The sequence below is a fragment of the Homo sapiens genome, chromosome 18 (genome assembly GCF_000001405.40).
Source record: "Homo sapiens chromosome 18, GRCh38.p14 Primary Assembly".
NCBI lineage: Eukaryota > Metazoa > Chordata > Mammalia > Primates > Hominidae > Homo > Homo sapiens.
Genome location: NC_000018.10, coordinates 62,682,285 through 62,707,456, shown reverse-complemented (window position 1 = coordinate 62,707,456; position 25,172 = coordinate 62,682,285). Strand labels below are relative to the sequence as shown.

At 42.8% G+C, this 25,172-nt stretch overlaps 2 annotated features.

Moving 5' to 3' along the window:
- Positions 4,896-4,945: a silencer, noted in NCBI's record as "silent region_9515". NCBI's record gives its function as "represses an Ori minimal core promoter by ATAC-STARR-seq in GM12878 lymphoblastoid cells {active_cell/tissue: GM12878}" and the evidence as "EXISTENCE:reporter gene assay evidence [ECO:0000049][PMID:35858748]".
- Positions 20,396-20,565: an enhancer, noted in NCBI's record as "experimental_49084 CRE fragment used in MPRA reporter constructs". NCBI's record gives its function as "activates a minimal promoter by MPRAs in K562 erythroleukemia cells, with activity observed for the introgressed 18:60354210 variant allele {active_cell/tissue: K562}" and the evidence as "EXISTENCE:reporter gene assay evidence [ECO:0000049][PMID:34662402]".

Genomic DNA, 25,172 nt, shown 5'->3' with positions numbered 1-25,172 from the left:
GGTAGTGCCATGTAATATTTTTAGGAAGTTTTATAACATTCGAGGTTAGAAGTCAGAAGTCCTGGTTCTAAACTCCCTAGCTAAGTATGGCCTGGAGAAGACATTTGACCTTAAAGAGCTTTTTCTTACTATTTATATAATAAGGGATTGAACTACATAGTGTCTCTAAAATCTCTTCTGGTGCAAAGAAATTTCTAATTCTGACTCAAAGCAAAACTGTCTAATTTGGAATATTGACAAATGTTTTTATTAGTCACAAAGCAGAAACCTTCACATTTAGATGCTATCATTTTGAAATAAAAAGACTATTTATTTATTTTTTGAGACAGTTTCGCTGTCGCCCAGGCTGGGGTGCAGTGGCACCATCTCGCCTCACTGCAAGCTCTGCCTCCTGAGTTCAAGCGAGTCTCCTGCCTCAGCCTGCTGAATAGCTGGCACTACAGGCGCCCGCCACCACGCCGGCTAATTTTTTGTATTTTTAGTAGAGACAGGGTTTCAGCATGTTGGTCAGGTTGGTCTTGAACTCCTGACCTCAAGTGATCCACCTGCCTCCACCTCCCAAAGTGCTGGGATTACAGGTGGATTCACTGCATCTGGCCTAAAATAAAAAGACTTTTCAGACTTTTTCTTTCCATTTAAAAGAATTGTTAAAGCATTTAGACTAACAGCAGGTTTATTCTGATATGTATGAAAACTGCTGGGTTTTTAGTCCTCTGAAATATGAATTTGTCACTAATAGGAACTAATTCATGACAACAAGATCCACAACTTCAGATCCCCAAACTCCAGTGTCTGTATCAGTTTTTTCTTTTACAGTCGTGGATGTGTATAGATATAAATCTCATTACCACAAAGTTAGGTTAGCTGACAGAAGCTAAAACATCAGCTCACGTGAGTACATGGGCCCAGGAGACGCAGACAAGGATATTGATAGCAGCAGCAGTTTGCCATGCCAAAACTTGGGAGTCACCCAATTGCACATCAACAGTAGGATGAATCAAGAAACAGGAGCATAGTTCTACCTTGAAATGCTAATATGGCAACAAAAATGAAGAAGTTTAAATTAAAGTGGTAAGCAATATAAGTGAATCTTTTTTTTCTTTCTTTTTTTTTTTTTTTAAAAAACGGAGTCTCGTTCTGTCACCCAGGCTGAAGTGCAGTGGCATGATCTCAGCTCACTGCAAGCTCCGCTCCTGGGTTCAAGCGATTTTCCTGCCTCAGCCTCCCAAGTAGCTGGGATTACAGGCATGCGCCACCATGCCCGGCTAATTTTTTGTATTTTTAGTAGAGATGGGGTTTCACCATGTTAGCCAGGATGGTCTCAATCTCCTGACCTCATAGTCCACCTGCCTCAGCCTCCCAAAGTGCTGGGATTACAGGCGTGAGCCACCATGCCTGGCCATGAGTGAACCTTTTTAAAAGCATGTTGGGTGAAAGAAGCCAGACACAATAGAATACTTACCAGATGATTCCATTTATATCAAGTTCAAGAACATGTTTTTTAGGAACACAATTTAGGTGGTCAAACTGAAACGAAAGGAAAAGGAAGTAAATAACAAACTGACTAGGGAAATTGAGGGGATTGTGACTGGGCAAGAGAACACTGGGCTTCAGCAGGGCTGACAGTGTTCTTGTTCTTGACCTTGCTGGTTACCTGGGTCTCTGCTTTATGAAAACGTGTTCAGCTGTACATTCTTGTTTCATCCACTTTCCTGTTTGTGTTATATTTCATAACAAAGGTATTTTTAAAGATCATATGGTTTTGTTACACCCTGAATTTCTATATTACGTCCATTCTTAAGAGTTTGAAGTTATATTTCCCGTAAGTTGTTTAATTCATTTAGAATTGTATTCATAATGTAAAACAATGATAAATATAACTTAAGAGTTATATTTATCATGTAAAACAATGATAAACATAACTTAAGAGAGAACTTTCAGATTAATTTTAAGAGTAGTAAGTTCATTATAGAAACTTTGGATAATATTGCCAGGTATAAAGATGCAGGGATGAACATAAATCCCAATGACACAGTTATTTTCACATATTTCCTCCCAGATTTTTTTTCTCCTATGCAGTTTAATGTGGTAGAGATCACAATGTAGCTACATTTTTTCCCTGCTTTTCTTGCTTAAAATGATGCCATAAGCACTTTTCCATATCATTATAAACAGAATTTTAAATTTCTAGATAATGGTGAATTATTGGGAGACCCTGAAACTTATTTATACACACCATAAAGGGTGAATTCGTGATCACGCAGGACACTGTACTGGCCTTCAGTATTTTTATACTATTTTTATGCTCTTCTACTTGTGGACATAAGGTTGAGATCTTAGCCAATTTTTATACCTTCACCTTCCTTATCTCCCCATCCTTCAAACCACAACGTAGCAACATTGAAATCAGGCAGTGTCTGAAGCCCTTTCTTCTTTTTTTTTTTTGAGACAGAGTTTTGCTCTGTCGCTCAGGCTGGAGTGCAGTGGCACAATCTCAGCTCACTGCAAGCTCCGCCTCCCAGGTTCACGCCATTCTCCTGCCTCAGCTTCCTGCCATTCTCCTGCCTCAGCTTCCCAAGTAGCTGGGACTACAGGCGCCCACCACCACGCCTGGCTAATTTTTTGTATTTTTTTAGTAGAGACGGGGTTTCACCGTGTTAGCCAGGATGGTCTCGATCTTCTGACCTCATGATCCGCCCACCTCGGCCCCCCAAAGTTTTGGGATTACAGGCGTGAGCCACCATGCCTGGCCATCTGAAGCCCTTTGTAGATGGGCTTATGAGGAAGTCAAAACGTGGAAACATTTACCAACTCCTGTAATATGCCAGGGTGCAGTAGCCAGATTTAGCAAATAAAACTATAGGACACACAGTTTTTGCAATAATTGCACATATGAAAGAATTACTTCATATTTATTTGAAATTTGAACTTAACTAGGTTTCCTGAATTTCATCTGGCAACCCAATGCCAGGGCACTGCCAGGGCTGTCAGGAGTATATTCTAATTTAATTCCTTTGACCCCTTTGAGAGTTACATACGATTCCCATTTTAAAGAAGAGCTCAGGCCGGGCGCAGTGGTTTATGCCTGTAATCCCAGCACTTTGAGAGCCCGAGGCGGGCAGATCACGAGGTCAGGAGTTCAAGACTAGCCTGGCCAACATAGTGAAACCCCGTCTCTACTAAAAATACAAAAAATTAGCTGGGTGTGGTGGCACATGCCTGTAGTCCCAGATACCCGGGAGGCTGAGGCGGGAGAATCACTTGAACCCGGGAGGCAGAGGTTGCAGTGAGCCGAGACCATACCATTGCACTCCTGCCTGGGTGACAGAGTGAGACTCCATCTCAAAAAAAAAAAAAAGAAGAGCTCAGTAAGGATCAGTAACTTCTCTAAGCTCACACAGCTAGAAAGGAGTAAAACAAGGATGGAAACCTAAGCTTTCTGACACCAAGACTGTGGCTCCAAATTGGTGGGGCTTACCCCCTAATGCTTGGGTAAAATGGACCCAACTCTCCCTCAGTGAGAGAGGGTGTTTTTGGTTTTCATTTGTTATTGTTGTTTCTTTTTACAAAACAGTTCATCAACCCTTTTGTACTGTTATGTCAAAAATGAGTGGCTGGGTGTGGTGGCTCACATGTGTAATCCCAACACTTTGGGAGGCAGAGGCAGAAGGACGGCTTGAGCCCAGGAGTTCACGACCAGCCTGGATAACATAGTGTGACTCCATCGCTACAAAAAAAAAAATTGAGAAATTAGCCTGGAGTAGTGATGCATGCCTGTAGTCCTAGCTACTCAGGAGGCTGAAGCAGGAGGATCTCTCAGGGTCAGAAGACCAGCCTGGATAACATAGCGAGACCCTGTCTCTAAAACACATTTTTATAAAATCAACAAAAATTAGTTGGGCATGGTGGTGCATGCCTGTGGTCCCAGATACTTGGGAGGCTAAGGAAGGAGGATTGTTGAGCCTAGGAGTTCAAGGCTACAGTGAGCTATGGTTCCACCACTACACTCCAGCATGGGTGACACAGTGAGACCCTATCTCTAAAAAAATAAAAATTAAAAATAAGTTAAAAAATGAGTATGGGGTAGGGGAAGAATTCTGGACCCAGGCGGCAGGGCCAAGCCACTGAACTGACTCAAAACAACCAGGTCCAGGAAAAGGGGCTTTAAGCTACCACAGGGCAGCAAAGAGGAAGCTCCAACACACCCCCTAGCCCCACCCTTTGGAAGCCAGAAGACTCACCCATCAGCACTCTTCCTGATGACCATCAGATGAGACATTTTAATTTCATTTGCTCCTGGAAACCCCAAGGAAGGTTTTGGGTTTTGATTTGAGGTAGGGGGCAGGGGCTTTATTTACTTATTCAGGTTTAAAATAAATAGTAAAAAGGGTGAAACTTCCAGAAGTGGTTCCACTGTCATATGGGAGGAAACATGATCCAAGCTGTGTGCGTTATCTTCATCCCCTCCTGTCCAGCCAAGAGTCTGGCCCCACAGCGTGGCACAGGCCAAGCTCCCCTCTCTTGTGCCCTCTCATTCATTCCTTTGCAACTTGCTGCTTTCCTTCCCCACACAAGCAGATTCTAAATGAGCCATTTGGCAAACCCCTCAGAGTACTACCACTCCTAGCCAGGAGGTGAAACTTCCCTAGGCCCCAAACGGAGGAGGGACAGAAGTGCCAGTGTCTGAGGAGCGTGGGTGCAGGAGACAGAATGGAGCTGAATCAGGAAAAATGACAGAGGCCCCAGCCTCATTTGGGCCCGAGATTCCCCTGAATGTGGCTCTTGTGGCAATCCTAGGTGAGGTCTTTGGTAGGACTTGGGAGAAACACACAGACCCCCACAACGCCACCCACTAAGGCCCCCAGCCTTACTCCAGGCAAGCGTATCTGCTCAATGGCATCTAGCTCTGAACCAACGAGGGCCTGAGTCTCTCTGCACCAAGGGGAAGCAAGTGTCAAACCCACACCCAGCATCTGGCAGCAAACAGCAGCTGCACTTCCCCTCCCTAAGTCTCTACGGCCTCAGACTTGCATTCTGTCGGTCCCCAAAGCAGTTCAGGGTCCTGGCACACTTGCCAACGCGGCTTTCCTGCAAAGCTCAACCAACCTGCAGGCAGGCATGCAGCAAGCCCAGGGAGCAGCTTCAGTGTGCGGATACGGGTTCCATCTTCACTGGCTGTCAGAGGAAAGCCAAGATGGACTCCACATGCCCCTCAACTTTACTACTGAAAACCAGTTCCTACTGCCTCTAGGCCCTTGGGTTTCCTTTTCATAGAGCATTTACTTCATTTTTAAAAATTTTTATTTTATTTTAAATTGAGATGAGATCTTGCTATGTTGCTCAAGCTGGTCTTGAACTCCTGGGCTGAAGGGATCCTCCCACCTCCACTTCCTGAGTAACTGAAGTTACAGACCAGAGCCACAACACCTGCCTGCAGAGCATTTACTTTAAAAAACTTGTCATTTTAAATTCTTTCTCTACCTCTTTTTTTTTTCTCTCTTTTAACTCATCTGTATTCATTACAACTTTAAGCAGAATGTGACTCGGGCACTACATTTCCATCCGCAAGCCTGGCTCTGAGTTTTTGTTATTTTATCTTATTTTTTTTTTTGAGACAGAGTCTTGCTCTGTCTCCCAGGCTGGAGTGCAGTGGCACAATCTCGGCTCACTGTAACCTCCGCCTCCCGGGTTCAAGCGATTCTCCTGCTTCAGCCTCCTGGGCAGCTAGGATTACAGGCATGCACCATCACGCCCGGCTAATTTTTGTATTTTTAGTGGAGACAGGGTTTCACCATGTTGGCCAGGCTAGTCTCAAACTCCTGACCTCAGGTGATCCACCTGCATGGGCTTCCCAAAGTGCTGGGATTACAGGCGTGAGCCACCGCAACCGGCCAATTTTTTGAACACTTTATGATGCTTAGAGTAGGCTAATAATTTTGCTCCTCCAAGCAATACTTTTCTTTGGAAAACAAGCCCTGTGGAGAGTTCCTTCCATCGAGTTGCTTCAGTTTAACCTATTTCTAGAGGACTAGCACATGCAGAATTGGCAACTACAGGGAATGAAAAGTTCAAAAAGTAGATCCTAGAAGATGTTAACAAATACTTTTCTCCTAAACATCAAGGTACACCTCAGAACACTTTGATAATAAGACTTGGTCTACTAGGGAATCTGGCTTGATAGCTAAATACTTTAGACCACAAGGTTAGTATCAGTTTACATACTTACAACACACGTTGCCTTGATCTGTTAAAATAAGCCAATGTGAAACTACGAAAGCATTACTAGCTCTGCCTTAGTGCCTAAGGTATCACAGTATCATTTAGAAGTAGAAAGAAATCTTATCTTCCCCTTAAAGTATTGTCATGCCATACCGATTTTTATTTTTTTTATTTATTTTTTTTGAGACAGAGTTTCACTCTTGTTGCCCAGGCTGGAGTGCAATGGCACAATCTCAGCTCACTGCAACCTCCGCCTCCCAGGTTCAAGAGATTCTCCTGCCTCAGCCTCCCAAGTAGCTGGGATTACAGGCATGCACCACCATAGCCAGCCAATTTTGTATTTTTAGTAGAGATGGGGTTTCACCATGTTGGCCAGGCTGGTCTCAAACTCCTGACCTCAGGTGATCCATTTGCCTCAGCCTCCCAAAGTGCTGGGATTACAGAAGTGAGCCACCATGCCCAGCCGCCATACAGACTTTTTAAGTGTTAACAAAAATAAAGAAAAAAATCCTTGAAAATATACTATCAGAGGAATTGTAGAACATTGAACACATGTAGAAGTCATTCCTCAGCCAGAGCGTAGTCTACTTCTTCCATGCATGATGTGTCATCGTCTCCTTTGAGGGGTGGCATTTGTTTCTCAGCTGCACTGGTCTTTCTCTACCTCTTTGAGATGTATGTAAATATATGTGTGTGTGTGTGTGTGTGTGTGTGTGTGTATGTGTGTATATATATATATATATATATATATATATATATATATATATAATCTCCTCTTGCCAGCTTTACCACCCAGGAATGTCTTTCTCAAGGACCCAGGAGCCACCTCTTTGAAATGTAATCATCAAAGCAGATAGTGCCCTATGTCCTCAGTGTGGGAGGATGGGAGCCTAACGTCAGTGAGTGTTGTGCTCCCACTTGAAAAGCTACCTCGTATCAAAAAGATAGGAGGAGTTTATGTTCCAGTTCTTTTCTTTTTCTTTTCTTTATATTTTTTGAGAAAGGCCTCACTCAGTTGACAGGCTGGAGTACAGTGGCACCATTATAGCTCACTGCAGCCTCAACATCCCAGGCTCAAACGATCCTTGCACTTCAGCCTCCTGAGTAACTGGGACTACAGGTGTGCACCACCATGTCTGGCTAAAGTTTTAATTTAAAAAAAAAACAAAACAAAACATTTTTTTGTGTAGAGACAGGATCTCTCCATGCTGCCCAGACTGGTCTCAACCTCCTGACTCAAGTGATCCTCTCGCCTCAGCCTCCCAAAGTTCTGGGATTCTGGGTGTGAGCCACTGCACTCGGCCCAGTACTCCTCAACTTGCTCACTCCAACCCTTAAAAAACCCTACTGCCCCCTGCTTCAGTGGAGTTGAGTTTAGACTTAGCTCTGGTCTCTCTCCTCTATTTCAATAGCCTTCAATAAAGTCTTCCTTCCCTGTTTAACTTTGTCTGGGGCAATTTTTGCTTTGCTAGGGAACATTTAGTTTCTGATTTTTGCCCAACTTTTAAACAAATTATAATGTTTCCACATTGGCAACATGCTTGTAAATTAGAATTACCCTAGAAAAGAATTGGACATAGATTCAAAGCTGCAAAAGTAGACACTTAAGAAATGTGACTTGATAAGAAAGGCTTCCATTCCCCTAAAATATCTCCACAGCTTCTCCACTAGCCTCACTTGACTTAAAATGGCCACATTTTGATAAAGAGATGGAAGGACCAAGATCATCAAGGGTGAGAGAGAGAGCTCATCACTCTTAGGGGACAGTTAAAATGCTATGGGACACCATACAAAAAAATAATTTGAGATGGATCTTAGATCGAAACTTGAAAGATAAAATAACAAAACTTCTGAAAGTGACCTTGGGGTAGGCAAAGGTCTTAAGACACAAGAAAGCTCTTAAAAAAAGAAAAAATGGTAAATTAGTCTTTTTTTTTTTTTTACCGTTAATAACATCTTTTTATCAAAAGACAACACCAAGAGAATGAAAATGCAAGCCACAGACCACTGGGAGACAACAATTTCTATTCAGGATATGTAAAGAGCTCCTACAAATCAATAAGAAAAAATCAATCCCTTCAATTAACAGGCAAAACAAACAAACATACTATCCACAAAAGAAGATCTCAGAAAGCCAAGCAGCATGTGAAATGGTGCTCATCATCATTACTTACAAGGAAAATACAAATTAAAACACCCTAAGATACCCTTACACATCTTTAAAAGACTAAAATTACTAAAGTGACAATACCAAATGATGGTAAGGTTGTAGAGCAACTAGAACTCTCATGCATTCCACTCTGGAAAACGGTTTGACAGTGTTTACTACAGATAAACATCTGTCTGCCTGATGAACCAGAAATTCCCCTCCCAGATGTGATACCCCAAGGAAATGAGTAAGTATATCCACCAAAAAAAAAAAAAAAAAACAAAACAAATATATGAAGATGCACAGCAGCTTCATTCATAAATAGCCCAAAATAAAAAACAACCCAAATGCCCATGAACAGGGGAATGGAAAGATAAATTGTAGTGTATACTTAATTGTGCAATAGAATTAATGAGACACGCAGCAACATGGATGAATCTTAATGCTATTATGTGGAGCAGAAAAAGACACAGAAGAACCCATATTATATGATTCTGTGTATATGAATCAAGATTAAGAATAGGCAAAACTATGTAATAAGCCAGTCACAAAGAGGTAAATACTATATGATTCCACTTATACATGGTACCTAAGAGTAGTTAGATTTATAGACAAAAATAGAGTGGTGTTTGTCAGGGGCTGGGAGTTGGGTGAAATGAGTAGTTGGATGGATATAGAGTTTGAGTTTTTCAAGATAAGCTCTAGCAATTGGTGGACAACATTGTGAATGTTCTTACCTTTGCTAAACTGCACACTTTAAAATGGTTAAGTCCAGGTGCGGTGGCTTACGCCTGTAGTTCAAAGACTCTGGGAGGCTGAAGTTACTGAATCTTTTGAGCCCAGCAGTTCAAGACCAGCTTCGGCAACATGGCGAAACCGCATCTCTACAAAAAAATACAAAAATTAGCCAGGCGTGGTGGCATGCGCCTGTAGTCTCAGCTACTCGGGAGACTGAGGCGGAAGGATAGCTTGAGCTAGGGTGGTTGAGCTTGTAGTGAGCTGAGATCATGCCACTGCACTCCAGCATGGGAGACAGAGTGAGACTCTTTCTCAAAAAATAAAATAAAAACAAAAACAAACAAATAAATAAATAACATGGTTAAGTTGGTAATTTTTAAGCTATATATATATATAGTAACACAATTTTTTAAAAGAATAGGCAAAACTAATCTGATGCAAGTCAGCATACAGGAGACCTTTGACAGAGGGCAGTGGCTGGAGGGGGCCTCTGGACTGCTGGCAAATATTCTATTGATTTATTTGGATTGTGCTATTGAGCCAGGAAAGTTTAAAGGTCTGTGTCATATGAATACTTTACTTTGTACCTATCCCTTTAGTAAAAGGTTTTGCCTTTTTGTTTAAGACACAGGAATATTGGATTTGTTTCACACATTTATTACATAAAACTCTGAGCTCTTACATGTGACATAGGAAGAGGTGGAATGTTGAGTAGAGTAGGCAGGCCCAGGGAAGGACGAAGCCGTGGTGAATCTATGGAGATAATGCCAAAACAGGCAGCAAAATCTGGAAGAGAAAATAAAATGGCAATCATCTTGCAACTTCATCTAGGGGTCTTAATTCCTACATTTTTTCTGTAAGATAAATGTTCTGACCAAACGCATGTGAACCAGGAGCTGTCTTCTCTGTTTGAGCTCCATGTGAACCTAGAGACCTGGACTTCAAATGAGTTGTATTTATTGTCTTCAGATAATACAATGCCATTATCCAAATTGTGGTGGGCCATTTATGCAGATGAACTAAATCAAGAAAGTTTTATTGAACAACTACTTTGTACCAGGGAATTTGCTAAGTATGAGAATTACAATGATGACCACATCCTCCACAGACCCACCCCTCTTGGATCTTAGAGCCTTGGAAGGAGAAATGCCTGCTTTTTAATTCAGTATTGATTTTCTGGCTCTATAAAAATAAATTAAATGTGTGTTGGCTGGGCGCAGTGGCTCACACCTGTAATCCCAGCACTTTGGGAGGCCGAGGCGGGCAGATCACGAGGTCAGGAGATATACACCATCCTAGCTAACACGGTGAAACCCCATCTCTACTAAAAATACAAAAAATTAACCGGGCGTGGTGGCACGCACCTGTAGTCCCAGCTACTAGGGAGGTTGAGGCAGGAGAATCGCTTGAACCTGGGAGGCGGAAGTTGCAGTGAGCTGAGATGGTGCCACTGCACTCCAGCCTGGGTGACAGAGCGAGACTCCATCTCAAAAAAAACAAATAATAAAATAACTGTGTGTTAAGTCTCCAATAAGAATCAGCTTCTCAAACTGGAATTTAGTTCTGTCCTTTAATATCACATAATCTGGGAAGGGAGGGAAGGATGGAGGCAGCAAGGCAGGGCCCAGGAAAAGGAAGGGAGGAAAGGGCTGACTACTCCACTGGACTGGAATGGGATATATGCAGCTTTTAAAATTAAAAGACAGAAAAAACTTAAACCTATAGACAATAGATGATAGAAAATAGAAGAGGTTTCTTGACTCCAGAATATTACAAAGAATGAACGATGATTTTCTAATTATACCTTTTCTGTATTCTGAAGGTGGACACTTTAATATTAACATCAATTTTCTAAAATTATGACCTACTCTGCCTCTGGTGCTTGCAAGAATAAAGACTTCACTGAAATCAATGCATGTTAGACTTAAATCAGGCAAAGGGCATGAAGAATAATAGTGTAAGAAAGCTCATGTTTTTATTTTCCCTACTTAAATGTTAAGTACTAAATACTATTAGTCAATGTTGATTGATAACATTTATTTATTTATTTTAATTTTTTTGAGACAGGACCTTGCTGTGACATCCCCACTGGAGTACAGTGGCACAATCATGGCTCACTGCAGCCTTGACTTCCTGGGCTCAAGCGATCCTCCCGCCTCAGCCTCCTGAGTAGCTGGGACTACAGGTGCGCATTACCACACCCAGCTAATTTTCGTATTTTTTTGTAGAGACAGGGTTTCACCATGTTGGCCAGGCTGGTCTCAAACTCCTGGGCTCAAGCAGTCTTCCCACCTCAGCCTCCCAAAGTGCTAGCATTATAGGCATGAACCACTGCACCTGGCAGATTGATAATATTTACAATTAATAGTGATACCAAAACACAGGGAGAAAAAATAATTTTAGTCAATGTGTTTTAAAAAAAGAGAGAAAAAATTGGAGACCCATAATCCAAGATTAGAAGACTCAGGGAGAGAGAATCATATAGAATTTTTGGAATAAATAACAGTTAATATATAGTATTTTATGGTATCTGCAGCCTACTTCAGTTCCATTTTAAGTTAATTATAGTTGCAAATGAATACAATTTCTATATAAGACTGAGCACAGACGATTTGTTTATTTATTAATATTTGCAGGGGATAAACTGGCACTTCCAAATGAAAAATCTTTTTCTTTTTCTTTTTTTTTTTTTTGAGACAGGGTCTTACTCTGTTGCCCAAGCTGGAATGCAATGGCACAGTCACGGCTCACTGCAGCTTCAATCTCCCAGACTCAAACGATCCTCCCACCTCAGCCTCCTGAGTAGCTAGGACCAAATGTGTATGCCACCACCCCTGACTAATGATCAATTACATTGTGGAATTTTTTTCCAGATTAATGGTCATTTCCTAATCCATTGAATGTTTTTTTTTCAGGGTGGACTATAAACAAAGAATAGGATGTTTTGAAAAAAGTGACACCTTAATGTGTCAGCCTTCCTGCTGACAGAGTGTTTTCATGTACATCCTCTTACCTGATCCTCCCAACGGCTCTGGGAAGTGGATAAATGACGAACATAATCAGGATATGGGCAGTTATGATTAGGGGCTCCCACTCATGGAATTTGAGGACAAGGCCTCTGAAAATGAAGAATGGTTGAAAGTAGACACTTACAGAAATAACCCATACTAAAATGTAAATATATTTCTATGGAGACCTGAAAGCTACCCAAGATCAATCAAAGTAATTATAGTGTATCCTTAGGACTAGAATGTACCTGAGGAAAGCTGCACTTTTGCCAATTATAGAGTAATATAACTGTCTGAAAGAAGGATGTTTTAGTGGAAGGACTGTTAAATTTGAAGGGAACCAAAGAATAAGACTTTATCCACATTGTTTAGCAAAAAAGATGGGCTGGGTATGGTGGCTCACACTTGAAATCCCAGCACTTTGGGAGGCCGAGGCAGGTAGATCCCTTGAGCTCATGAGTTTGAGAACAACCTGGGCAACATGGCAAAATCCCATTTCTACAAAAAATATAAAAATTAGCTGGTTGTGGTGATGCATGCCTGTACTTTCAGCTACTTGGGAAGCTGAGGTGGGAGGATGGCTTCAGCCCAGGAAGCGCAGGTTTCAGTGAGCCAAGATAGCACCACTGCACTCCAGCCTGGGTGACAGAGGGAGATACTATCTGAAAAAAAAAAAAAAAAAAGCTCTCATCAATGATAAAGGTAAGCACAACCTGTTTGAGGAGCATCTGGTAATTAACCCCAAGTCAGCCTGGAAGAGAGCAGGCTGGTGGTGGTAAAGGAAGCCTTCCTAAAAGAGATGGCACCTGAGCTGTATTCTGGAAGGCAAGAGGACGTTGACCATGTCAAGGGGAAGAGGTTTCTGCCGAACATGGGGCTGAATTACTGTGTGATGTTGACCTCTCTGGATTTCACTCTTTCATCTATAAAAGTCAAGAATTCCAGCTGGGCGTGGTGGCTCATACCTGTGATCCGAACACTGTGGGAGGCTGAGGCGGGCAGATCACTTGAGGCCAAGAGTTCGAGACCAGCCTGGCCAACGTGGCAAAACCCTGTCTCTACTAAAAATACAAAAATTAGCTGGGCATGGTGGCTCACATCTGTAATCCCAGCTACTTGGGAGGCTGAGGCACAAGAATTGCTTGAACCTGGGAGGTAGAGGTTGTAGTGAGCTGAGATCACACCATTGCACTCCAGCCTGGGTGACAGAGTGAGACTGTCTCAAATAAATAAATAAATAAATAAGAATCATTTGACTCCAGCGTTTTTCATGCTGAGCGATCCCATACACCAATAAAAAATCAGAAATGTTCCTGCTTAAGGCCAAAATAAAGTACAATCCCTTTGTATCTTCTCACCTAGCAAAAAACCATAAAAGACCTTTCTATGCACTTTCACCTATTAGTAGGAATATTATGTCTTCTCTTTCCAGTTTGCAAAGTCAAAAGTCCAAGTCATTCAAGGTCAGTGCAAAAGCAGGCAAACTGGCCAGGTCATTCAGATTTGCAGGAAAAATGTGTCATCTGCACTGAATGCATGATTTAACATGTTCAGTGTGATTTCACAGCACAGTGTCTCACAGTACAATGGTCCACGTGTGTATATTCACCTTAGAAAGTGGTTATCACCAACTAAACCTGGACAAAGACTATGAAAAGACCAAGGAGAAATGGAAAAGGACAAATACAAGGATGAGACTACTGAGAAAAAAAGTCATAAAGTCATCTTATGTACAACTTTTATTAAAAACTGCTAAAATGAGCCTTTTAAAAAGTAACACCAATTTTTGTTTAAAGAAAGCTGGCTGAAAAATACTTATTTAACTCTGATCTCTCAAGAAATCCTACTAAAATGACAGTGGATGTTCTAAAAATATAGAAAATTTGCAAAGATATGGAAACAACCTAAATGTTCATCAGTGGATGAATGGATAAAGAAAATGAACACACACTCACAATGCAATGTTATTCGTCTTTTTTTTTTTTTTTTTTTTTTTTGAGATGGCGTCTTGCTCTATCGCCCAAGCTGGAGGGTAGTGACACGATCTTGGCTCACTGCAACCTCCACCTCCTGGGTTCATGTGATTCTACTGCCTCAGCCTCCCAAGTAGCTAGGATTACAGGCACCCGCCACCGTGCCTGGCTAATTTTTGTATTTTTAGTACAGATGGGGTTTCACCATGTTGGCCAGGGTGGTCTTGAACCCCTGACCTCAAGTGATCCACTCGCTGTTGGCCATTCTCAGGCCCACCTTGGCCTCCCAAAGTACTGGGATTACAGGTGTGAGCCACCTTGCCCGGCCTAAGAAACCTGAATTCTAAGCCAGCAGCAGGGAGAGCTGACAAGCAACCTACTTTGCAATGCAGAACCTCCTGAAGATGTGGGAACTGGTGACACCAGGCCCTTCTGGAACTGTAAGTAAAGATGGGTACAAAAAGAGGAGGCTGCAAATGGACTTGGGAAGCAATTGTGTCACTAGACATCAGATGCCTTGCACCTTCTGGGAAATAGTTGCCTTTCAGAGTTTATTCTCTTGAAAAAGTAGATAAAATTGAGAGTTCCTGGGATGGGAGAGGCACTAAACAATTTCAGTTGGGGTTACTGTGCTGGAAACAGGGGGATTAAAGTAATGTTTTACATACTCCTCCCTCTTCCTTCACTCAGCCCCCAGCCCCAAAGCCACCATGTGCAGTTGAACAGGTTTGTCCTGCACAGGGCACCTGGCTGAAGGGCTGGGTGGGGTTGAGATTGAGCTCCTCTCTCCGGCCTCTGGCCCTGTGCCTGGAGGAAGGTGCCCCTTTCCCTCATTCTCCAGAAGGTGCCATCTGATCACCAATGCTGCTCCTGCAGGGCTGCCTCTTGGAGGAATGTGCCCCTTTCCCTCATTCTCCAGAAGGTGCCATCTGATCACCAATGCTGCTCCTGCAGGGCTGCCTCCTGGAGAGAAGGTGCCTCTTCCTAATTTTCACAAAGACCTGGCATGGACTTGCAATGGCCCGCCCTGGGACTCTGGCAGCCAAACTTATACTCTTCATGAAAGATCCTTTTCAGGGGTATCCAACAAGCCTTCCCCCAAAGCACCCAACAACAGCCCAGTCGGGTGACCCTGCAGCAAAGCCCATAGCTGAAAAGCTGTGCAGACCCAGCTTCACACCCAACCACCAGCAGGCAGTTGAAAATCCATCTGAAGAAAACCTTTATCAAGAAAACAGAAATGAGCTGAAAAAGGCAATTGGACAGAAATAGACTTTTAAAAACTACTCATCCGTGTCTTCAGAAATGAGAAATATTATTACCTGCATGAAACAAGACGAGATATATGTATGTAAAAACACAGAATAAGAAAGAGCTTTTTGAAATTAAAACAGGATAAAAGAAATGAAAATTTCAATAGAAAGCTTGGGAGAAAAGTTGAGAAAGTAGGATAAAAATGGAAAAGAAGCCAGGTGCGGTGGCTCACGCCTGTAATCCTAGCACTTTGGGAGGCCAAGTATATCACTTCGGTCAAGGAGGTCAGGAGTTCAAGACCAGCCTGGTCAACATGGTGAAACCCCGTCTCTACAAAAATACAAAAAATTAGCCGGGCATGATGGCAGGTGCCTGTAATCCCAGCTACTCAGGAGGCTGAGGTGGGAGAATCTCTTGAACACAGGAGGCGGAGGTTGCAGTGAGCCAAGATCATGCCATTGCACTCCAGCGTGGGCAACAGAGTGAGACTCTGTCTCAAAAAAAAAATAAATAAATAAAGAAAAGAAAGAAAGAAAAGAAAAAAGAAAAAGAAAAGGAAAGAAAAGAAAAGAAAATTAGGCCGGGTGCTGTGACTCACACCTGTAATCCCAGCACGTTGGGAGGCCAAGGCGGGCAGATCACTTGAGGTCAGGAGTTCAACACCAGCCTGGTCAAAATGGTGAAACCTTGTCTCTACTAAAAATACAAAAATTAGCCAGGCGTGGTGGTGCGTGCTTGTAGTCCCAGCTACTCAGGAGGCTCAAGCGAGAGAATCCTTGAACCCGGGAGGCAGAGGTTGTAGTGAGCCAAGTTCGTGCCATTGCACTCCAGCCTGGGTGACAGAGCAAGACCCCATTTCAAAAAAGAAAGAAAGAAATAGAGAAATAAGAAAGCAGAGCTCAGGAGGCAAAACAAGGTTTGGAATAGAGACTTTGTAATTATTTAAACTGGAAGAGAATTCACTCTATAAGAAAAATGGTGTTGAGAAACAAGAGAAGAGAGCTTGAAGGCAAACATTTTATAAGTGCCATTTACAGTGTCAAGAGAGAAGGAACTTCCATTGAGAGAATAGCCAAGAAACCCAAGGAAAATGGGAGTTTCATTAAGGGGGTAGGGAGTGATGATTAAGGTCAAGGGCTCAGGAGGTCTAAAAGGCCCAGATCATTAGAATAAACAGTGAAAAATTTCTAAACAGGGCTTTCTAATCTGAGGATTAAGCTCATACCCTTTAACGGGCATTAAATTTTAGAGAAGATTTTGAGTTTTGGAAAGATCTTGTATTTTTCCAGGACACCACACAATGAATATGACCCTGTTTTCAGTAAATACACAGTTGTCTTTCATGGTGTGGTAGCACAAACCCTGCATTAATAAGAAAGTGAATCTTAGGGCATATTGTCATTACCATTCCCATACAAAGCTCTGTCCCTATTTTTCATCCACACAAGGGATGGCATTGTCTGCCAGAGATGAGCATTTGAACTAAAGTTCATGGCTTGGCTGGGATCTTCCTTTTGGCTGCACTTTCCCAGCGATCAGCTGCCTGTCATAGGCTCTGGTGTTACTGACACCCCAAACAAGACGGAAGCTCAGGAAAACAAACAACTCGGAGCTGCTTTCCCTTCCTGGAGTGTCAAAAGCTACATTCAAAATACCAAATGTTATATTAAATCTCAACTGAAGATGAAAGCACGCTCGGTGAAAGATTCATTATTTCACTTTGCTGAGTCGAATTCAAGGCTTGGCTTCAGGACTGAAAGCCATAATTGGTAGCAAATGTTCCCTAATCTTTCCACAAGCTATTTTCTCATTTTCTCTTTCTAGCATAGATTGCACTCCACACTTCCACACTCTCCAAGCAGATGTAAGATGAACAGAAAAGTCTAGTTTTGTATTTTTTAAAAGCCCACCACAACACTTTACGACTGAATTTTCCCATTTGCCTGTTTAAGTTTCCGCTGCCATCCAGACATTTCCATCTCAGACACATCAGAGGCAAAATAGAAGAACTGTATTACTTTGGAATTCAAAAAGTTTACACAAGTCCATTAGTAACGCCCCAAAGAGCCTGGGTGGCAAACATTTTTAGTGCCAGCATATTAATCAGTTTTTCCCTAAAGTGTTAACTAAATGGATAGTCTTCAGGATTTCCTGAGGCCCCCTGGTCAGAGTTGCAGGAGCACAGCACATGAGCATGCCACAACACCACTGCTACCTGCCTGTTCCCATGACACCATGCTACATGCCTGTTCCCACAACATGCTACACGCCTATTCCCACAACATCACTGCTACACACCTGTTCCCACAACACTATGCTGCATGCCTGTTCCTATGACACCACTGCTACATGCCTACTCCCACAGGACCATACTACATACAAGCCTGTTCCCACAACACCATGCTACACACCTATTCTCACAACAACATGCTACCTGCCTACTTTCCCAAACAAATCATAGGAACTTCTGTAAAGCAGTGAATAGCTGAAATGTCATTCTAAAATGCATATTTTAAAGACAACGAGGGAAATTTCTAATTTGCAAAATTAGAAATTTGCAAAGATTTGTGATGCTTGATAAACAGTCCCAGGGTAGAATGAGCTTTCATCTATGGGAATGTATTCATACATACTATCATCTTACACTTCTTTCATTCATTAAAATACTTTTTAAGCAAAAAGTACAATGAGATCAGTTGTAAATGATAGATGAACCTTCAAAGTCCATTGGCTTAGTTCCATAATAGGGCCACTCTGGAAATAGAAGACAGGAGAGACTCTTCTAGTATGTAGCCGTGTTCCTCTCCAGTGTCTGCTGAGAGTCTTCAGAGACGAGCAGGGGTGAGGATGGAGCGGAGGAAAAGGGATTCCTCTCCGACCGCACTTGCACTGCAGGTGGTTGAGCAGGTGTTCTCCTTAGTGAAGGTCCCCTGATGGAGCTGATCTCCTGCAAGCCTTGAAATGCAGTCCCTGAAGCAATGGAAAATGTCAGATCCTGTATGGGGTGACCAGTTAGGAAGAGAAGAAATTCTCAGTTGAACTTAGACAAACCTAAGCCAGAGAAAAATGTTTTAACATGCTGTCTTAGAGCTGGGATGATGAGCAAGGAGGAAGAGAACTCATACTTCCCATGTGCCTAGTTTAAGCTCGGTATTCTGAAGTGCTTAACTCACTTCACCCTCACAAATTTCCTGGAAGGTGGCTAACTCTAAAATCCCCACCTTGGTCTACAAGGCAACAGGGACTCTTCTTCTGGGCACCTCCCCTCCAACGTCTTCACCCTTCCGGCTCTCCTGCCCCAGCCACCAAACAGGCTGTGACTCTGCTGTGGTGCTGTGCCCCTGCCTGGGTATTCTGCCCCTAGATTTGTGACTGGGTCCCTCACTGCCTTCATTTAGGCCTCCTTGCAAATGACACCTCCTTATTTAAATGGCACCACCCCCATGCTCTTTCCCCAACGCTGCTTTATTTTTCTGCACAGCATATATGCTGAGTTGAATAATGTCCCCCAAGAATTCATGTCCACCCAGAACCTCAGAACGTGAACTTGTTTGGAAATAGGGTCTTCAGAGATGTAATTAGTTAAGATGAAGTTATATTGGATGAAGGTAGGCCCTAAATCCAATATGACTGGCATCTTTACAAGAAGAAGAGAGGACACAAAGGGACACACACAGGAAGAAGGCCATGTGACCAGGACGCAGAGACTGGAGTGATGCAGTTGTAAGTCAGGGAATGCCAAGGGCTGCAGGCAGTCCCCAGAAGCCAGGAAGAGGCAAGGAAGGATTCTTTTAGGGAACCTTCAGAGGACGTATGGCGTGGCTGACACATTCATCTCAGATTGCTGGCCTCCAGAACCATGAAAGAATAAATTTCTGTTGTTTTAAGCCACCCAAGTTTGCAGTACTTTTTCACAGTAACCCCAAGAAATGAATATAGCATTTGTCACTACCTGACATATATATATGTATACATATGAGTTTTTTTGTAGTTTTTTTGAGACAGAGTTTTCGCTCTTGTTGCCCAGGCTGGAGTGCAATGGTGCAATCTCGGCTCACTGCAGCCTCCGCCTCCCAGGTTCAAGTGATTCTCTTGCCTCAGCCCCCCAAGTAGCTGGGATTACAGGCCCATGCCACAACCCCTGGCTAATTTTTTGCATTTACTAGAGACAGGATTTCACCATGTTGGTCGGGCTGGTCTCGAACTCCTGACCTCAGGTGATCCACCCACTTCAGCCACTTAAAGTGCTGGGATTACAGGCGTAAGCCACTGCGGCTGGTCCTATATATATTTTTTTTATCAGTTAGTTCATCTCTGTCTTTCCCCACAGGGACATACAGTCTTTTTTTTTTTTTTTTTTTTTTTCTGAGACAGAGTCTTGCTCACCCAGGCTGGAGTGCAGTGGCATGATCTTGGCTCACTGCAAGCTTAAGCAATTCTTCTGCCTCAGCCTCTCCAGTAGCTGGGATTACAGGCGCGTGCCACCATGACCAGCTAATTTTTGTATTTTTAGTAGAGACGGGGCTTCACCATGTTAGCTGGGCTGGTCTTGAACGTCTGACCTCAAATCATCCACTTGTCTTGGCCTCCCAAAATGCTAGGATTACAGGCGTAAGCCACCACACCTGGCCAGACATACAGTCTTTAAGACAGGGCTTTGTTGTTCTTGTTCATTGTTGTGCTTCTAGTGACTAGATCCTTAAGCCATTGCTAGCTTTGGGGATGGAAGGGAACAGGCATTCAGGCAGTCCTCCAGGAGCCAAGAAAGGGAAGGAACGCGATTGTCCCCTACAGCCTCCAGAAATGAATGCAGCCCTGCCCACATCTTGACATTGGGAATTCTGACCTCCCAACATAGGATAAAAGATTTGTATTAAAGCCAGAAAATTTGTGATAATTTATTATCACAAAAATAGGAAACCAATATGCATTGTCACCTAGAATGTGTTTTTTGCTCTCTTTCTGTCCCCTGGTTGAGCTCTCCCATAACCTAGGGCCAAGGGAAGGGTCAATTATGTGCCCACTGATACCTCTGACCTGGAGACCTAAAGTTGCAAATAGGATGTTAGTGATTAGCAGCAAAGGAAAAGATGATAAATGCTAATGCCTCTGCATCCATTTAAGAGCTGAGTGCCAACAAATTTCCAAAAATAGAATTCAGTGTTCTCTGAAACTCTTGAAAATAAAATAACTTTGAAAAAGTAATGTAAAGCCATGAATAAAGATCATGGGATGGAACATTTTCTTCCTTCCTGACATAGAAACTCCTTAATAATATCCTTACATGGGGATCTACGAAAAGAAGAGGGGGAGGGATACCAAAGAGCAAAATTCCGCATGCTTGCCAAAAGAAATATAAAATATTGAATAATGGTAGGGTGGTTTGCTAGAATATTTTTTAAAAATATTTTTAAATGAGTCCCCCCACCTCCCCACCCAGTTATAGAGGAGTGGTGAGAGGAGTTCTTGTTTATTGAAGAAGTTGGGAGCTTGGACAGAGGAAGAGCAACTCCACCTTCTGCAGGAAAACTGAATGAGCAGGAATCTGGGATTCTTACCAAGGCTCCTGATTCCAGATCTAATGATCTTCTGCATCATGTATCATTGCTGATTACAAAGGAAAAGCAAACCAACAAACACATCTCCCCAAAACTGGGGAGGCAGCCTTGGACCTGGCTATTTCAGTTGAAAGAGCTGAGGATTGGCCAGATGCGGTGGCTCACGCCTGTAATCCCAGAACTCTGGGAGGCCGAGGCAGGCGGATCACGAGGTCAGGAGATCGACACCAGCCTGGCCAACAGGGTGAAACCCCATCTCTACTAAAAATACAAAAAATTAGCTGGGCGTGGTGGCGGGTGCCTGTAATCCCAGCTACTCGGGAGGCTGAGGCAGGAGAATGGCATGAACCTGGGAGGCGGAGCTTGCAGTGAGCTGAGGTCGCACCACTGCACTCCAGCCTGGGCGACAGAGTGAGACTCCGTCTTAAAAAAAAAAAAAAAAAAAAAAAAAGAGCTGAGGATTTAGAATCAGACACACTTGGGGGAGTTCTCGCTCCTTCTCCTGCACCAGCAGTGGGACCTTGAGAAAGGGGCTTAACTCCTTAAGCCCCTCAGCTCCTGCGTTTGAAAAGTGGCCATTATAACCCCTACCTAGGAGAGACTATAAGGAGTCAATAACCAACACTTCGCCTATGGGCAAATAGTCAAAAAATAGTAACTGTTACTATCATTATTTTTCAATCACTATTTAATCTAGTGCCTCAAAGTCCACTGTTAGAGAGAATTCATTTAGGTTATTGACTTAATCTTCTTTTAAAACCAAAATACCCTGGCAGGGATTGTACACTATATCACAATCAGGAACTCACATCTGAGTGTGAATGCCTTTTTCAGATAGAGGGAGAAGGAAGCCGGGTAAGGAGCTAAAACACATTTTGCTTCAGAAGCGCATTCGGCCATGACCTTGCCAGTTACTAGCTGGGTGATTCTGGGCAATTCATGGAAACTTCTTGAGCCATGTTGCCCTCGTCTGTGAAATGGGAATGCTGTATTTAAATGGTTATTGAGTGAATCAAATGAGCGAACATGTGAACATGCTTTGTAAACTGTAAAGAGTATAGATGAAAAAGCCAAACTCTAAAATATTTGGAGAGGTTTATTCTGAGCAAATGTGAAGACCATGACTTGTGACACAGCATCGGGCAGTCCTGAGAACATGTGCCCAGGGTGATTGGGTTGCACTGCTTCATTTTATACTTTTTGAGGAAACAGAAGTTACAGGCAGAGACGTAATCTGTACGTGTAAGTTCTAAATTGGTTTGCCCTGGAAAGGGGACATATTGAAGGGCAGGGAGAGGTGGCTTCCAAGACATAGGTGGATTCAAAGATTTCCTGATTGGCAATTGATTGAAAGAGTTAAGCTTTGCCTAAAGAGTTGAAGTCAGCAGAAAGAAATGCTTGGGGCTAAGATAACGGGAGTTGTGGAAGCCAAGAATCTATTACATAGGTTTCAGAGAGAGTAGCTGGTCAATGTCTCTTATCAGAGCTTAAAAGCTATCAGGGGGCCGGGCGCGGTGGCTCACGCCTGTAATCCCAGCACTTTGGGAGGCCGAGGCGGGTGGATCATGAGGTCAGGAGATCGAGACCATCCTGGCTAACAAGGTGAAACCCCGTCTCTACTAAAAATACAAAAAATTAGCCGGGCGCGGTGGCGGGCGCCTGTAGTCCCAGCTACTCAGGAGGCTGAGGCAGGAGAATGGCGTGAACCCGGGAAGCGGAGCTTGCAGTGAGCCGAGATTGCGCCACTGCAGTCCGCAGTCCGGCCTGGGTGACAGAGCGAGACTCCGTCTCAAAAAAAAAAAAAAAAAGCTATCAGGGGCTGGGTGCAGTGGCTCATACCTGTAAACCCAGCGCTTTGGGAGGCCAAGGCTGGTAGATCACATCAGGTCAGGAGTTTAAGACCAGCCTGGCCAACATGGTGAAACCCTGTCTCTACTAAAAATACAAAAATTAGCTGGGCATGGTGGCACACGCCTGTAATTCCAGCTACTCAAGAGGCTGAGTCAGGAGAATCACTTGAACCCGGGAGGCAGAGGTTGCAGTGAGCCTAGGTAGTGCCACTGCACTCCAGCCTGGGTGACAAGAGCGAAACTCCATCTAAAAAAAAAAAAAAAAAAAAAAAAAAGTTATCAGGCTCTTAGTGAAATCTCTTGTGGAACAGGAAAAGACCTGGAAAGAGAAGGAGGCTGTCTGCAGAATGTAAATTTTCCCCACAAGAGATGGCTTTGAAGGGCCATTAAAAAATATGTCAAATAAATATATGTTAGGGTAAAATACTTTGATTTCCTTTAGGGCCTGTTACCTGTCATATGATGTTATCAGTATCTTACTGCTACAGAGAGTCTGTTCTGTCAGTCTGGGATGTGTATGCTAATGTCAATGTTGGTCGGTTGAGTCTGAACTCCAGAAGGGAGAGGGTATAATGAGGCATGTCTGACCCCTGCCTTCCCATTACGGCCTTAACTAGTTTTTCAGGTTTCTTGGAATCCCTTTGGTGGATTCCATGAAACGCAGTTCATTCAGCCGGTTGGGGGACTTAGAATTTTATTTTTGGTTTATAAGAGCTATGGCAGCTTTGAATTATATTACCTTGGGGCTTAGAAGAATTTTCTCAACTGATATACTGATATATTCCAAGCACGAAATTCTTCACTATTATTATCTAAAACCATTTATAATTTATTATTATACATTATTATATTAAACATTATAATTTTCTGTTATAAATATGATTCAGATTGAACTCTCATTTTCTTCCTTGGTGGTATTACTCTGAACTCAGCTGAAGAAAAAGAGTTATATTAGAGTAAAAAATGGGCTGGGCACAGTGGCTCACGCCTGTAATCCCAGCAAATTAGGAGGCCGAGGCAGGCAGATCACTTGAGGTCAGGAGTTCGAGACCAGCCTGGCCAACATGGTGAAACCCCTTCTATAATAAAAATACAAAAAATTAGCCAGGCATGGTGGCTGGCGCCTGTAATCCTAGCTACTTGGGAGGCTGCGGCAGGAGAAATGCTTGCGCCTGGGAGGTGGAGGTTGCAGTGAGCAAAGATTGCACCACGTACTACAGCCTGAGTGACAGAATGAGACTCCATCTCAAAAAAATAAAAATAAAATAAATTAAAAGTAAGATTGGAAGTCAGAGAACAAGAAAATCATAGATGTGGATCTAATGTTTCCTTTGATGAAACTGTCCCCCTCCCGCCTCCCCGTTTCTCTATGTTGGATGCTGCTGAGAGTTCTACATTGTTGGCATAAAGGCTAGAAACCAGTAATAAAATATAATCAGAGCAGAAAGTATTAGAAAAAAAGCCTGGGGAGGAATTTACTTTAAAACAATGTTGCCAGGTTATTTCAGCAGGTAATGTGAGCCACCAATATGTTTTATTTTATGGAAAAGTAGATGATTCAATTCGCACACATGCACATTTATGTATTCAGATACATCCGTTTATTCAGAGGAACATTTAATTTTAGCATGAATTCAAAGAGGTTGAAAGCTGCTTCAAAAGGAGTTTTGAGGACATACCTTAATTAGATGTCCTCATCAACTATCTCCCATTTTTTTCATGTTCCCTGATATGAAGTTGAAAGCATAGTTAGAATTGGAAGTTATAGCATCCCTGCTTTTAGGGGGCTACATATAAAAATTGTGTGATGGCTCATCGTTTAGCAAATTAATAATGCCCTAGTAAATGCACCAGGGCACAGTAAGGCTGGATCAATTTTTACGCAGCCTGCTCTGGAGAGAGCCTTGCTTGAGAACAGCAGGAAACCTTATCATTAATGAATGCTTTTCTCTACTTCCTTTCCTTTGCCTACAACTGATTTGAATAACAATGTCACTTTGCAATCACTAAATTGAAGACATATATTTTTGAGGAAATAATAATCACCTTCCCCTACCCCACTCTCAAGCCAACCAAAAAATCTCCATTAATACATACAGCAGCTGCGTGCAAAGTCTCGAAAGCCTTGAGACTGTCTGCTTGGCTGACTGAGCACATGAGATGAGGATCTGGACCTGGCATGACAGTTTCCTCAATGCGATGCTTGTGAGTTTTCTCTTTGTGAGGGCTGAGCAATTACAGAGTATAATTTCAACAGAAGTGCTTAACTGCAAAGAGCTCATTTTACACAAGTGCCTATAGTAACCAGGGCCACACAGCCGGATAGAAAGGAGAGGAAAGAATTAATAACTGATATATTCTGGGTCTCTAAAGTATTCTAAAAAAGAACTGTTATGTTTCTAAAGAAAACAACTGCTTGATTA